The 16,788-nt window shown below is 42.5% G+C and overlaps 1 protein-coding gene and 1 long non-coding RNA gene across 5 annotated transcripts in view; both read right to left on the bottom strand.

Moving 5' to 3' along the window:
* LPO (lactoperoxidase) overlaps positions 1 to 546 on the bottom strand; it is a 29,935-nt gene extending 29,389 nt beyond the window's left edge. For all 4 annotated transcript variants that reach the window (NR_027647.2, NM_006151.3, XM_011524808.3 and 1 more), the window contains exon 1: positions 391 to 546. The gene's annotated coding sequence lies outside the window, so the exon portion shown is untranslated. The remainder of the gene's footprint in view (positions 1 to 390) is intronic.
* A 5,004-nt stretch (positions 547 to 5,550) lies between these two features.
* LOC105371841 (uncharacterized) overlaps positions 5,551 to 16,788 on the bottom strand; it is a 14,266-nt gene continuing 3,028 nt past the window's right edge. The window contains exon 2 of the long non-coding RNA XR_934884.4: positions 5,551 to 6,470. This is a non-coding gene — a long non-coding RNA (uncharacterized LOC105371841). The remainder of the gene's footprint in view (positions 6,471 to 16,788) is intronic.

The following is a 16,788-nucleotide window of genomic DNA, read 5'->3' as shown; positions in this document are numbered from 1 at the left end:
TCAAGAACAGCACAGGGAGCACCATTCTGTCACTGTTTTCCCCCAAATTCCTGTGTGACTCTGGACACATTAAATTGCTTAAGTCTCAGTTCCTAAACAAGGTGGATAAGAGAGGTCTATGGTACCTTCCAGCCCTAAGAGTTTATGATTCTCTGACATAGTTTTCAGACACAGAAAAGCCTTTTTCCCCCACAGTGGTGGGGGGAGGCTTAATTACATTCTCTCTTATACCAAACAAGAGGAGTGTGCCATGGGGTGGCTAAAGCTGGCACCAGAAAGTGCCTGATAGAGACAAGTCTAAATCCAGTGTTAAGCTTTCTGAGAAGACGTTAGGAAATTTCATCATCAACTTTGCAGAAACCAGGAAAGATGAAAGTTGACGAGTCTTACCTGCCCAGTGCCTTGTCTTTTCACGGCAGCCAGGGAGTTGCTCTGCTTGGAGGAGCTGGTCTTTTATACCTTCCAGCAAGAATTCACTTCTGGGAAAGGCCCAGAAGGAAAGATTTTGATGTGGCTTGGAGGAGACGCTGAGGCTTAGCAGGAAAGACTGTGTGACTCCGGGCAGATACACCAGGAAACTGCAGAATGGCAGGGATTGGTTGATGCAATAGCACTGACTGTGGGTGAAGCAACTCCTCTTTCCATTTTCTAGCTTAAATGCATGATCCTGATCTAGTTCCGGAAGGCAAAAACTGCATGCCCTGAGCACATTTGTCCCTTTTAAGCTCCTAATGGGATCCGAATAGCTCTTAGAATTATGAACAATTATTAGGTTGGTGCAAAAGTATTGCAAAAACCGCAATTACTTTTGCACCTAGCTAAATGGTTCTCCTCCCCATTCATATATTCACTGCCCTTTGATCCCTCCCTTACATTCCACCCAATTTACTGTGGAATCCAGTGGATTCATCTTTTGGATTTAAAGTGATCAATAAACATTAATTTTTTTGGTCAAAATTTCAAAATACTTTTGGCCACCAAAGGGTGAGAAGAGCCCTAAGCTTTCATAGTGGGTTGCAGTCCCTGCCTCTGCCATTGTATGGCTCTAGGCAAGTCACTTCACCTTCTGGTGTCTCAAATTTTCTAGTATTGAAATCAATGGTTGGTTTTGGTGATTATTATGATTCTATGACTTCATGCCTTCTATAGGGTGACCCATTTAAAAAACTCCAGAATCTGGGAGGCCAAGGTGGGTGGATCACTTGAGGTCAGGAGTTGGAGACCAGCCCAGCCAACATGGTGAAACCCTGTCTCTACTAAAAACACAAAAATTAACCAGGCATGGAGGTGCATACCTGTAATCCCAGCTACCTGGGAGGCTGAGGTGGGAGAATCACTTGAACCTGGGAGGCAGGGGTTGCAGTGAGCCAAGATCATGCCATTGCACTCCAGCCTGGGTGACAGGACGAGACTCTGTCTCAACAAAACGAAACAAAACAAAACCACCACTATCGTATAAATTATTGACCTAAAGCTCAAGCATAATGTTACATACCTTTCCTACCTCAATGACTTTGGAAATTCAAGTTCATTAGATTCATACAAGAAGGAAAAAGGAAGATTCCGAGAAAACAAAATTTCATGAAAGTATATTTTACAGACAGACAATTTAAAACATAATAAGCCTCTTTATGAAATTATACTTTGAGTTGAAAATACTCTGGGAGCAACTGTCAGAAATTTATCAACCCCAAAACAGACTTCTTGGTTCGCCTTCAAAAAAGTGATATTTCCTTTCTCTAGATGGTGGAATATATCTAAAAACTACTTCTCTCGTGATGAATCCAGGCAAATAAGCTGGGCATCTCGGAAGAAGGCAGCTGTCCAGGAGAGGTGAATGAGACATCAGGCTCTTCTTGTTTTCTTTGAAACACACTTCAGCTCCTTAGCCAAGCATTGTTTTTCTGTGTCTGACCATTCCCTGAACTTTGGCACATGTTTCTCAAGGTTCTTGCCTCTGAGTTTTATGCTTAATATGTTCAGGAAGCTGTGTTGTTAGGCAGATCTTGACCTAGTTGGTTCTGAATAATCTGAAGATGGAACTTCCTTTTAGAAGACCCTATGGGATAACATTGCTTCCTATGTACAAAATATAGTGACTTATTGGTCAGGGTAACAGCAAAATACAGGTCTGATTATTCCCGGGTTTTATCATGTTATGACATGATATGATATGTCCTAGCTTTGGTCTTTCTGTAATGGGTCAAATAGGATGGGGCAGTGTCAGCTCCAGCCCAGTAAGGACCTTCCTTGATATTGGCCGTGAAGCACACCTGGAGGCAGTCAATCTGACAGTGACATGCCTATTGTTCTATAGCTAATTTTTATTTGAGAGCTTTGCTGACATGTGATGACATGTTTTCATGGGTTTATCTCAGTCTAGTCAAATCTGTAGCACAGGTAGATGTCTTCCCATGTGGGAATGGCAAATTGGCCTGAGAAATGGAGAGTGGAAGGCAGAAAGTTCAGGAGAAAGCTAAAAAGGCCAATAGCTTCTCATATGTCAGTGCAGAGTCCAAGATATTTTAGCAAAAGCAGCAGCAGCAGGGAGTACCCAATGAAGATAAGGTCTATCGCTGGCACATGACAGTACACACACCCACACACACACACAAACATGCACACATACTTCCCAGGAACACACAGTTTATAAATGAGACTGATTTTGGACATAGCTGGCTCACCTCTGTCGCCTTCTAGAATTAGAATGCTGCATGCTGCATACACAACCTTTGGTTGATCCAAAGGATACTCATGGTTGGTAACACAGTGACCATTCTATTTGTGTAAGGTGATTGTAGCTCTCACACTGGGCCCATGTCAGGTGCTCTCTCCCATGGGCGCATAGCTAGTCCCTTCCTTAGCTGTCTGTTTTCACCTTTGTCTGCTGGCTTGGCTGTCATTCATAGCTGGGCAGGGTTGTTTTTTTTCTTTTCTTTCCTGGCTAAAATGCATTTCCTTTTGTTGGTTTCCTAGAACACCAAACAAACAGACTTCTTGTCCCAAGGGTGGCTCTATATGCCCATGTTTACCCCTTTTGGGATTCATCCACTAGTTCTACCCCAGAGAAGGGAGGAACCCAGGCACTCTGGCTTAAGCTGTCCCTGGCCTCTGGAGGGGTGTGCAGATGGCAGAGCTTCTCTGAATGGTGTCCCAGGGCGGCATGAGCTGTTGGAAGGGATGGGGACATTGCCAGGCAGCCCCCTTTGGAGAGAGAGGAGGGATTTATAGATGAGAAAAAGAAATATTTGGGATGGGTTGTATGTCTCTCTAGCAGACAGGAGGAGGCTCTGTTATCTTCTCCTAGCAACTTTTTTTTTTTTCTGAGACAAGGTCTCACTCTGCCTCCCAGGCTAGAGTGCAGTGGTGCAACCACCAGTCAGTGCAAGGGCTCACGCCATCCTCCCACCTCAGCCTCCCAAGTAGCTGGGACTACAGGTATGCACCACCATTCCCTACTAGTTTTTAATTTTTTGTAGAGACAGGGTTTCCCTATGTTACCCAGACTAGTCTCGAACTCCTGGGCTCAAGTGATCCTCCTGCCTTGGCTTCCCAAAGTGCTAGGATTACAGGCATGAGCCACTGAGCCCGGCCTCCTAGTATTTTTTAGTGGGAGAATTGATCTGATGCTTGGTAGCTTCTGAGATTGGCATAACACAAGGGTTCCAACTGGCAAACCTATGATCAATGAATTTTTCCACTTAGCCACAGCATGCTGAGACTGAAGGGCTTCCCTGGGAACCGACCTGGTGGGTGGGCAGAATACTGTCTCTTCCTTCTCTTCATTAATGGCAAATCTTTTTTTTTTTTTTTTTCAGTTAATGCCATTCAACCATTTCCCCTCAGTGTTGTCTTTCCTTTCCTCCCTCTTTCCCTGTTCCTCTTAAATATTCACTGAGCACCTAATAGTATGTGCTTCTGGTTTTTTCTTACTCCTAATCCTCTCTCTTCCTAATTAGTTGACAAATTATGAATTTTAATAAGTTTGCTTAAGCAAAAAAGCTGTCAGATCTGTTCCCTGCCTTGGCAGGGTAATGTAGGCATAGGGCTGGGGAAGGGGATAGACCTCAATGGAGCAAGACAGTCTGAATAAATCCTGAGTTGCTCAGGGTAGAGATGGGGCAATAAACCAATTCCCACTTAAGCCACAAATAAAGAAACACAGGATTTTAAACAAAAAACAATCTTGAATTGCTATTGTTATTCTGTGAGCAGTCTGAGGATATGCTTTGTGATAAGTCCATAAAGAAAATATCATGCGAATAAAATGCCCTGTTTCTCAAGCAAGCAAGCATGTGTATGTGTGTGTGTATGTGTTTGCACACACACGTGCATACAGATGTGACAAAGCAACTAGCGAAAATGCAAGGAGCACTGGATTATTAAAACTCAGCAAGCCAGGCTCTAGTCCTAGCTTGCTAGTCAGCAGCATGTGACATTGGGAAAATTACTCTTTATTCAGAGGTCTCAGTTTCCTTCTCTGGAAAGAGAAATGGGTCCACTAAGTAATTGTGTTGGTTCCCTTGGGCTGTGATGTTTAGAATTCAATTGTGAATCAGTAGATCTTGTAGGTCCCAGTGCCAGTGAGCTTCTGCCTCATTGTACAGTCTTGTACACATTACATACCCTCAGGTTCTCTTTATATAAAAGGGGGATGAGAATCCTATGTTCTTACTCTTAGGACCAGCTGGGATGGGGTAGGGGGACAACTATCCCAAAGGCTGTTTCTCCTTAGTTCTGAGGGACAACCAGAAACAAAAGAACAGGAAGAATCTTGTTGAGAAAGAAGAAAAATTCTGCTGGGAATGTGATCATTCTCTGTCACTCAAGTTGGAAACCAGGGAGACACCCTGGGCATTTTTCTTTTTTCTTTCCCTCTTTTCTCTTCCTCCCCTTCCTCCCATCTTCTTGGTCACTGAATCCTGTCCATTTGTCCTTCATAAATCTCTTGCCTCTGTGGCTTCCTTGACTTCCCCACATTCTGGTTCTGCCCTGCCCTGAATTACCCCCCACTTTATTTATTTATTTATTTATTTATTTATTATTTTTTATTTATTTATTTTTTTTTTGAGACGGAGTTTCGCTCTGTCGCCCAGGCTGGAGTGCAGTGGAATTATCTTGGTTCACTGCAGCCTCTGCCTCCTGAGTTCAAGTGATTCTCCTGTCTCTGGAAGAGGCTGGACTTTTACCCCACTGCAGGGGTTAGAAGGGCCAGTTGAATTTGTAGGATTGTGGTGGAGGCTGGAATGGGGTGAAATGCTCAAATAGTCTGTCTGTGATGGAACCCCTTCCACTCTGGTGGAAACCTGGGGAGGGTGAAGTGGTTATTACCTCTCACTCTTCGCACAGTGCTAAGAAGGGGACAGAGGCTGGGGAGAGGAAGTGAAAGAATCTTCACTGTCCCACCCTCTTTTTCTTCTCTTAATGAATACAGGCTTTTCAAGAGGCTGTAAGCGTACACTGTAGAATGTCCTTCTACTCAGCGAGCAACATGGCCTCTGATATGCCTCTAACAAAAGATAATCATGACCAGGTACCCCTGAAGGAAACTGAGATTCTAAAATTTATTTGATATCTTACTTTTTTAAAGAGAAAAATTTTTATTTTAGAACAATTTTAGATTTACCATATTATTACAAAGATAATACAGAGTTCCTGCACACTCCACACCCAGTTTTCATTATGATTATCTTATTTTACAATGGTACATTTGTCACAGTTAATAAAGCAATATTGTTACATTATTATTAAGTAAAAGGTCAATATCTTACATTTTAACTTTCAAATTCATGCTTTTATGTCCCACTCAAGAAATTATCTGTTTGTTTTTATATAAAAATTTAAAATTTACTTCACAGCAACCTACAGTGGACACACCAAGAATGTGAGCCAAATGTAACCTGTGCTCTCTGTTTTCCGGGCCACTACGGTGTTCCCTGGGGGAGGCGCCCAGCTTGGGCCTACGAGAGTGAGTTCAGAGCGGAGTCGGAAGGAAATCTCATAGGGCCCTAATGACCCTGCTCGGTGGCTGTGTAACCTCAAGAGTTACTCAGTCTCTGAGCCTCGGCTTCCTCTTCTGGTGAGTGGGAGTAGGAGCAGCAGCCTGCCTCACAGGGTGCCATGAGGATAAGCTCGGCTCAGGCATGCAGACACGTAGAGCATGATTCACACGACGTCATTAGCATCAGGAGCATCCCTGAGACAGGAAGGTGAGCAGTGACTTCAGCACGAGCTGGTTCTTGAGAAGTCATGCTTTCACCCTCCCAGCCTCTGAATCGCCACTTCTAATCCTGAGGAGGGTCAGAAGCTGAAACTGAAAAAGGAAATGGCTTCAACCCCACGTCCTCATAGCTGGGTTGCACGCCACAGACAGAGGAGACAGAAAGGGAAAGTTTCTTTTTTTGGCTTCTGCTGCTGGGCATTCTCTCTGTCCTGGTGACTGTGTGGCTCTCCAATGAGCTGCTTGCTATCTGATGGGAAGAAAAAAGGAGATGATGGGGGCCATGGCACCACCCTGTCCCCAAGGAGCCAACTCTAGTTTTGCCCTCTTTTGGTCACATGGATGTGAAAGAGTCCATCTTCAGCCTGAGGACAACAGCTGGCCCAGGCAGGGTTTCTGCTCTTGAACTCGGCAACCTAGGCTAGTTGCTCCCACCTCTCTGAAGTCCCTGTGGACCTGGATACTGCATAGCTGATGATGTCCGTCTGCTGAAATAAAGCCTAGCAGAATTTCCTAGCCTGACAGCTGAAAACCGGCCTGCATTGCTTATAGTAACTCATGTTTTCTCTTTTCCCTTCTTGCTACAGATTTCAGGAGGCCCATTTTGACTTCAGTACCTGGCCCCCCATGAGGTGATGGCCCCACTGTTAGCTTTCCATGTCTAAACTCTGAAATTTTGCCCTGAATTTCGATCCAGTGCCCGAGGCACTGCCACTGCTGGCAATTTAATCATGGTCCTTACTGGATTTCACATCCTACAAATTCAACTGGCCCTTCTAACCCCTGCAGTGGGGTAAAAGTCCAGCCTCTCCCTCCAGCCCCAAGTTCTAAAACGTGGTGCTGGCCCACCTTCATGAACCCTCCCATTTGTGGCCATGTCAAAAGAGAAAATGATGAATGGGTAAGAAAAACAGAAATTGATCAAATCTGCCTGAGATTCTGCCCTCCTAGAACTTATCAAATCTGTAGCAATAAAACTTTACAGCCTCAGATTAGGGATCTGCAATTCCCTGCTCACAGCTGCAATGAGAGCAAGAGACCATGACCTAACAGACTCAATTGGGAAGATTCCCGTTTGTGGGATGTTTTCGATGTGTCACACAACCCTAGATTTCCTTGCTATTTTTATCTTTTGAAACATTCTCCAAGAAACCTAATGTGGAAGTTCCCTCTTTTAACATAATTATGTTGTTTCACTACAAGTTGCTGGGGTTCAAGAAATCATTAATTGGGCTACTTTAAGAGCATAATGTAATTCCAATCTGCAAAAATATAGGAAATATGACATTCTCTAGAAATGGATTTAAGCATAGATCTAGGACTCATAAATAACAAGGCAGTGTTTTGACCCTGGTGATATTTGCCAAGTAAGTATAGCAAGGGGATTTTAGTCAGCCTGGCTTTGCCTCATCATGATTTATATTTGTCTGATTCTTTTAAAAAGTAAGCTTAGAGTTTGAACAACATTTCAGAAGCCTCTGGTTCAGTGATTCCCAAAGGTTGCATCTGAATCAGTGGAAAGCTTGGGAAAAATACAGGCATCCAGACTCTGCTCCTGGTCTACAGAATTCCAGCTCTGGCATTGGAGTTGGAGAACCTCTATTTCTAATAAATCTCCTGGGTGAGTCTGACATACGGGTAGATTTGGAAACTACTAATCTAGCTGAACTTTCTACCCTCTGTAGGATTCCCCACTACATCCTTGCTCCTCAAGGTATGATCCAAAGTCTTATAGCATTGGAATCTTCTGGGAGCTACTCAGAAATACAGAATCTCAGGCCCCACCCAGATGTACCAAATCAGAATCTGCATTTTCACAAAATCCCCAGGTCATATTTATTTACATTAAAGCTGACAGATGGTCATCAAGTCACTGCTTGAACACTTCCGGGGTTGGGGAGCTCAGTATTTACATGGCAACCTGCTTCATTGCTGGGAGGCTCTAATTATCTAGCTCTTTCTTATAGCAAGCTCACTCACTCATTCATGCATTCATTCTACAAATATGGGCAGACTCTAAAAAGTTGACCAAGATGACATAGTCACGTGATCACATTTCAGCCATTTTTAAATTTCAGTTCATAGGCAGAGAGAACCTCTTTTTTTTTTTTTTTTTTTTTTTTTTGATGGAGTCTCACTCTGTCACCCAGGCTGGAGTGCAGTGGCTCAACCTTGGCTCACTGCAACCTCCGCCCCCGGGTTCAAGCAATTCCCCTGCCTCAGCCTCCCGAGTAGCTGGGATTACAGGCACTGCCACGGCGTCCAGCTAATATTTGTATTTTTAGTAGAGACGGGGTTTCACCATCTTGGACAGGCTGGTCTTGAACTCCTGACCTTGTGATCCACCTGCCTCGGCCTCCCGAAGTGCTGGCATGAGCCACCGTGCCCCGCCAAGAGAGAACCTCTCTTAACAGAGATGTATTTTCTTGTTTTCACATAGGCCAGTGTGAAACTAAGGGCCTGTCTCTTGTAGAACCTTACTGAGGGCTGTAAGAAGTTGGTAACACAATCCAATATCCTGAATTTTCCCCACCATCCTCCTAATGCAACAGCCTGCATAGTATGTGGTCCCCATTCCCAGACACATCAGTGTAACTCCTTCCTATCCAAAGTGTGGTCCATGGCTCAGCAGCAGTGGCACCACCTGGGAGCTTGTTAGGAACGCAGACTCTCAGTTCCCACCAAATCAGGATCTTCATTTGAACAAGATCCCCAGGTGATTTTTTTGCACATTAAACTTCAACAGGCAGAGAAACCAGTTCTATTTCACAATCCCTTAAATAGGATTGCTAACTTTCTAGCTCATGAGCAAGCCCTATCTCTTCAGCCAATTCCATCAAGTATAAGCCTGTTAATTGCAGCATGCCTACTTCCAGGCACACATTCCGTATTACTTAGCATGCGTTTGCTGGGCCCAGGTCACCAACAAACTAGCTCAAATTGGCTTAACTAACAAGGCAAATTTCAAATTGAATGCTGGGCACATGGATGGTGATTATACGATTTGTTCCATATTTGTGTTGCTGTTGTTGGTGTAATTTTTTTTAGTTGTGGTAAAATACACATAATATAAAATTTACCATCTTAACCATGTTTAAGTGTACTGTTCAGTTTTGTCAAGTATTCACATTGCTATGCAACCAATAATTGTTCCATATTTTTTGATCATTTGAAAAAAAAAAAAACCTCTAACAAGAATCCAGGGATAGGGTTGACTTCAGGGTTGAATTACTTCAATGGGCCTGGCTTCCTTCACCCTGCAGTTCTCCTGGCTTTACCTCCTCTCAGCTTCAACTCCATCCTTCCCTTGCAGGCAAAATGGCACACAACCCCCTGCAGGGGAAGGCAGAGAATCTCACAGAAGAGAAAGAATAGCTTTCCCAGAAATCCTGGCAAGCTTTTTCTTACGTCTCACTGGCCTGAATTGGAACATGTGCCTGTTCCTTAATTGGCAAAGATATTTTAAGGGTCATTAGATTATTGCTGTAGAAAGATCACTTGGCTTTAGGGTGGGGAAGAGGTGGAGGGTAGGACTGCAGAGAGGAAGGTCAGGAGGCACCCTGTTGCAATGACGAAGGTAGGAACTAATGGTATCCTGGAAAGAGGTAGTGCCTGGTGGTCCTGGAGGTGGAGAGCTGGGAAAGGATTCCAGAGATGTTAATGCGATTGAAATCTTAATTTTCTTCCGTTCAAAGACTAAAAATACCTTTCCCTTCACCCTCTCTCAAGAGAGCAATTAAAGCTTTGTGTCCTGGAGGGCAGAATTTTCTTTGTCTTTGGGAAGATTAACAAGCCTTTGTTTTGAAAAAACAAAATAAACAAGCAAATAAACAATAGACCAAACTAACCAAACAAATAACAACAAACAAAAACACAAGTGACAAACAAACATAGCTCACAGGGCTAGGGAGCTCAATTGAGGTACGGTGGGGGGTGGGGGAGGGAGGAGGGAGAATGGAGAGGAAACTGGTAGGTTGCTGAAGCCTATAGGGTTGGAGGGATTGGTTAGTTACCTTGGAGATGCAGGACCAAGAAACAGGGAATTTCAGCTCTCTTGCAGCATTCCTGCACGGGGCAGAATTCCTGCATGGACCTCTGACAGGGTGGCACATGGATATCTGGGACTGGACTCTATAGGCTGTGGTCTTTGGAGGCCAAGTTAGTCACCAGGAGGAAGATGGACACGGTAAGCAGAGAGCAGCCTGCTCAGCTGGGAGCTTGGGGCATGACCACCCCAGCACTGACCAGCATGGATTGGAGGCCCCTTTCTGGGGCGTAGGAACTCTGCACTGAGTCCAGGAAGTGGAAGGGGCCACAATAACAACATTGAACATCGCATCAGCTCTGCTGAGGGGGAGCTTGGAGACAGGTTTAATTTAACAATATAAATTATTCTAATTATTCACATATAATGATAGTGACAGGAGGCAGCCAAATGCCTAGACAGACAGGGTTGGGTACCCACCTCCAAGTCGAAGACAATTTAAATCCTGAAAGCCAAGCTACAAGTTAAATCCTTGGACTGGATTGAGAACTTGTCCTCCTGTTTGATGTGCTTTCCTCTGATTGATCCCCATCCTTCACCTATTTCACATATATCTAGCTTTTCCTAATTGGTTTTCTACACAGTCATGCCCACCTTTGAGTGGTGTTTTCACTTTAACTTTTTTTGCATACTCACAGACCAATCAGCACGCACTCCCCATCTTGTGCCTATAAAGACCCCAGGCTCAGTCAGTAGAAGAGGAGACTCCTGACTTTGTGAAGAGACAACCTGACTTTGGGGAAGATGACCTGCCCTTCTCATTGCCTCTCCTATTCCCCTATCCACTGAGCCATTTTTATCATTCACTAAAATTCTCCACCTTTGCCATCCTTCAGCTGTCCATGTGACTTCATTTTTCTTGGACCCTGGACAAGAGCTTGGGACACTTTACCCAGAAAGGTTGTCACACTGGCCCTTTGCCCTCACTGGTGGAGGGCAGCTTCCCCACGTGATGAGGTAAGGGGCCAACTGAACTGTTAACACACCGCTATCCGTGGACAGTGGAACTAAAGGAGCACTGTAACAACCCCTCTGGGCCTTTGGGATTTTGGGCACCCTTAGCTGGGTGCCTCTGCAGGCCCTGCATGGAGGTTGCTCTTGTGTTGGCACTAGGAGTGGCTGGCTGGACCCCACATTCACTCGCTCATGTGCTCCCTCCTGCAAGGGGTTGAGCGTGGTGGGCTGAGTAGAGGGGGTACCCCTGCTGTAAGTCCAGTGAAGGGGCTGAGAAAAATCTTGCATCAGTTGTAAGACAGTTGAGACAAAATATACTCATGTCCCAGCACCCAGCTTTGCATTTGCTGTTTCATCTGCCTGAAGTGCTCATTCTCCAGATATCCACATGGCTCATTTCCTCACCATCTTTGAGTACTTGCTTAAATATCACAGTCTTAGTTAGTGTTTCCAGATTTCCCTTTTAAAAAATGTCAAACTCTTCTTTTTCTACAATTCTTTTTTTGCTTTTTTGAGACAGGGTCTCGCTCTGTTACGCATGCTGGAGTGCAGTGGCACGACCACAGCTCACTGCAGCCTTAAACTCCTGGGCTTAAGCAATACTCCCACCTCAGCCTCCTGAGTAGCTACAACTATAGGCATGCACCACCATGCCTGGCTAAATTTTTTTAATTTAGTTTGTGTAGAGACAAGGTCTTGCCATGTTGCCTAGGCTGGTCTTGGCCTCAAGCAGTCCTCTTGCCTGGGCCTCCCAAAGTGCTGGGATTACAGGCGTGAGCTACTGTGTCTGGCCTTCCTCCTGTAATTCTTATTACCTTTGTTTTCTGTTGCTTATAACAGAATGCATGAAACTGGGTATCCCTATAAAGAAAAAGAGTTTCTTTCTCACAGTTCTAGAGGCTGAGAAGTCTAAGGTTGAGGGGTCACTCTGGTGACGGCCTTCTTCCTGGAGAGGACTCTCCTTAGAGTGGTGCAGGGTATCACATGGCGAGGGGCTGAGTGTGCATGTGCCAGCTCAGGTCTCTCACCAGTTCCCCTCCCATGATAATCCATTAATCCATCAGCTCATTAATTCATTAATCCACATTGGGGATTAAGTTTCAACATGAGTTTTGGAAGAGACATTCAGACCATAGCATTATTCTTTCTTGCTTTATTTTTCTTTGTGGAACTGACCACCATATATTGTACTATGTTTTGCTTTTTTGTTTGTTTACTGTCTACCTACCCCAACCATAATGTAAATTTCATGAGGTCAGAGACTGTTTAGTATACTACATACTCCAAGACCATCAAAACACAATTTTTTTTGAATAAATTAAGTGAATTAATTAATGAATTATGGCACGAACTCTTAACTACCATATCTTGTAGTCTCTGACAGGATTGCTGAGAATTCTTACTCAAAGCAATTTCAAGGAACCACCTAATTTCAGTTCTAATAGCTGAAGCCAAATGATTCTTTTGAGACAAGAGCCAAAATCTTGACTTAAAATTATTGGGTAAATATGAATGTATACTTTCAAAAGCTCACTGATGATTTGGAAAAAGTCAGTGGGCTATAATGAGATCAAACTTGAAAGAATCTCATAGTTGGTGGAAAGTTCTGGAAAAAGAAAAGGAGAAGACTGGCTTATTAGAATTTGCTGAAGAGATTAATTTCTTCGTGATTTCCAGGAGAATACCAAGAATGGGAGGAGCATGGAAGGTGGATTGTAAAGTCCCTGTATTTCTAAAAAATCGAATCCTCTTCTTGAGGAGGAGGAGCCATAGGAGCCAATATTATCAGTGTCCTACTGTTTAGAACACTCCTATTGCCCCAAGTCTTGACACATCACTGGAGACCTGAGCTAACCTGTTGGACACTGTAGGGAAAACAGGGCTGCTCAAGATAAAGCAATTAGTTGTCAGAAGCTTAGTATGTTTCTTTGGAAAAGACATTTAAGATCTGGCTAGGATATACAAGCGACCTGCTTCAGATGCTCAGCTCCTGGGTAACGCTGAACTATTTTATTCTCCTACTGACTCTGGTAATATCAACATGGTAATACTCATGTAGTCTCACCTGTTCTACCTGTTGGCACACTGCCTGGAAGGGGCCTGGGAAGAGGCAGGGATACTCATGATTGTGGTGTCCTGAGTAAGTTGGCCTGAGTTTAGCCCCACTCCCAATCCAATGTTCCCTGGGGTCACCTCCCCAAAATGTACTTGTAGCAGATGCTGTTGGTGTCCTACCAAGATCTTCTTTGCCAGCTGCTAACTATGTTGACTGTTAACAGCACATACCTATACCCATATCAGGATTGTTCTTGGCTGATAGGAGTTACCTAGCTAAGAAGTGTCTAAGAAGTTTCATTTTGCTGCTTCTCTGGGAATCAATGAATTCTCCAAGGAGCCCTGATTCCTTTGTAGTGGAGAATGGTCTTTAGAAACCAAGGTCTGGGTACTAGGTATGCTCATTTCTGTTGAGGAGTGACTGCTTCTGGGCTCTCTCAGTAGACAGAGCTAGAAGTTACATGTGTGGATACTAACTCATGCATATATATATATATATATATATATATATATATATATATATATATATATATATAAACACACACACACACATTTCTGACTCTTTTACATATATTTTTAAAATTTCTTTTTCTTTTTCTTTTTTTTTTTGTGATGGAGTCTCGCTCTTTTGCCCAGGTTGGAGTGCAGTGGCGTGATCTCAGGTCACTGCAACCTCCACCTCCTGGGTTCAAGTGATTCTTGTGCCTCAGCCTCCCGAGTAGCTGGGATTACAGGCATGTACCCCACACCTGGCTAATTTTTGTATTTTTAGTAGAGATGGGGTTTCGCCATGTTGGCCAGGCTGGTCTTGAACTCCTGACTTCAGGTGATCCACCTGCCTCGGCCTCCCAAAGTGCTGGGATTACAGGCAATTGCCACCATGCCTGGCCTATTTATTATTATTATTATTATTATTGTTATTATTACTATTATTTATTTCTTAAAAAAAGACTCAACCAAGTGGTATTTATACATATATTTTTAAACACCCATGAATTTTTACTGCTACCTCCAACTCTGATCCAGCATCACAGGGTCCATTCTTGCCTTCACCCCTTTCCTTATTTATAACTTCCTTCTCAGACACAGAAGTGGTACTCATTATCTACCACATATTTACTTATTTGTTTAGTGATAGTACATACATAAAGTAGCTTTAGAATTGCTAACTCAACTCCTCTGAGGAACAAATTTACCAACTAGAGTACAGTGTTTGTGGACAGATCTTTCTGTCTTCATCCTTCAGCTTTCAGCCAAAATAGTTTTCCAAAGTTACTTAGGTTGGCTCTTTGCTTCCTCACCCCCTTCAGTGTGGTTAGATGAGTCATCTATAACAGAGTCATTTGTCATAGTCTGCATTCCATTTTAAGTACCCCTCACAACCTGGTAAATAGCTTAAAATTTACATACAGTAAAATTCACTTACTGATACACTTCTGTAGGTTTTTAACAAATGCAACAAGTTGTTTAGCATCACCACAGATTTAGAACGGTCTCATCACCCCTAAAATTCCCTCACACTGCCCTTTATACTCAATCCCTATCCCCACACCCAATCCTTGGCAACCACTGATCTATTTTCCATCTCTATAATTTTTCCTTTTTAAAGAATGCCATATCGAATATATTGTACAGTATATAGTCTTTTATGTCTGGTTTCTTTCACTGAGCATAATGATTTTGAGATTCATCCATGTGGTTTTATGTATCAGTAGTCACTTTGTTTTTATTATGGAGTAGTATTTCATTGTATAAATATTATACAAATTACACAATTTATTTAAACATTTACACATTGATGGACATTTGGACTGTTTCCCATTTTTACTATCATAAGTTGTTATACACATTTACATACAGGCCTTTTTGTGGACACATATTGTCATTTTTCTTGAGTAAATACTTAGGAGTGAGATTGCTGGATCATATGGTATGTAAATGTTTCACTTTATAAGAAATTTCCAGTTTCCCAAAGTGGCTGTACTATTTTGCATTCTGATAAGTAATTATGAGAGTTCCAGTTGCTCCACATCCTCACTAGCATTTAATATGGTCTAACTTTTAAATCTTAGCCATTGTAATAGGTGTGCTGTGGTATCTTTGTGTTTTTAATATGTAATGTTCTGATGATTAATGATATCAAGTATCTTTTCCTGGGTTAATGTCATTCACATATATTCTCTGGTAAGTTGTTCAAATCTTTTGACCATTTAAAAAATAAGATTGTTTGTATTATTATTACTGAGGTGTAAGACTATATATTCCAGATATAAGTCCTTTATCAGATAGGTGTTTTGCAAATATTTTTCAGTGTGTCTTGTCTTTTTATTTTCTTGACAGTGTCATTCGAAGAAAAGATGTTGTGCATTTTGATGACAATTGATTTTTTCTTCTATAGTTTGTACATTTTGAGTCCTAAGAAAATATTTACCCAACTCAGGATCTCAATGATCTGTCCCTATGTTTCTGTCTAGAAGTTTTATTGTTGTAACTATTACTTTTTAGGTCTATGATCCATTTTGCTTCAATTCATTAAATTGTGTAGGGTAAGGAGTTGAATTTTGTTCATCTTTGTATTTGTTTTGCTTATGGATTTATTATTCCAGCATTATTTGTTGAAAATGCTGTCCTTTCTCCATTGAATTACCTTGGGACCTTTGTCAAAAATTGATAGGCCATCTACGTACAGATCTATTTTGGACTCTTTTTTTTGTTTTTTGCTTTGAGACAGAGTCTTGCTGCGTCGCCAGGCTGGTGTGCAGTGGTGTGATCTCAGCTCACTGCAACCTCCACCTCCTGGGTTCAAGCGAGTCTCCTGCCTCAGCCTCTGGAGTAGCTGGGACTACAGGTGCATGCCGCCACGCCCAGTTAATTTTTGTATTTTTAGTAGAGACAGGGTTTCACCATGTTGGCAAGGATGGTTTCAATCTCCTAATCTCTTGATCTGCCCGCCTCAGCCTCCCAAAGTGCTGGGATTACAGGCGTGATCTTTTTCAAAATTCTTTTAACCATGTAACTCCTTTGCATTTCCATATAGATGTTAAGAGTCAGCTTGTCAATTCTACAAAGAAACCTGGTGGGATTTTTACTGAGATTTAGATCATCTTGAGGATAATTACCTTAATGATATAGATTTTTCCAATCCATGGACATGTTATAGTACTCTACTTTATCCAGGTCTTCATCTTACCAATGTTTTGACATTTTAAGTGTACAAGGCTTGCACATATTTTGTTAATTTTATGTTTTGTGCTTTTGGATGTTATTTTAAATGGCTGTGATTTTTAAAATTCAAGTTCAAATGGTTTGTTCCTAGTATATAGAAATACCATTGATTTTTGTATATTGACCTTGTATTCTATAACCCTATTAGTTCTGCTGGCATTTTTGTAGATTCTTTAGGATTGTTTAGGTTCATATTGTATGTAGATATACACAATTTTACTTCTTCCTTTTAAATTATGTTCACTGCAGCGTCGACCTCCTCGGCCCACATGATCCTCCCACCTCAGCC

Source organism: Homo sapiens, chromosome 17 (assembly GCF_000001405.40).
Source record: "Homo sapiens chromosome 17, GRCh38.p14 Primary Assembly".
Lineage (NCBI taxonomy): Eukaryota > Metazoa > Chordata > Mammalia > Primates > Hominidae > Homo > Homo sapiens.
This window is presented reverse-complemented; position numbering and strand designations above follow the sequence as displayed.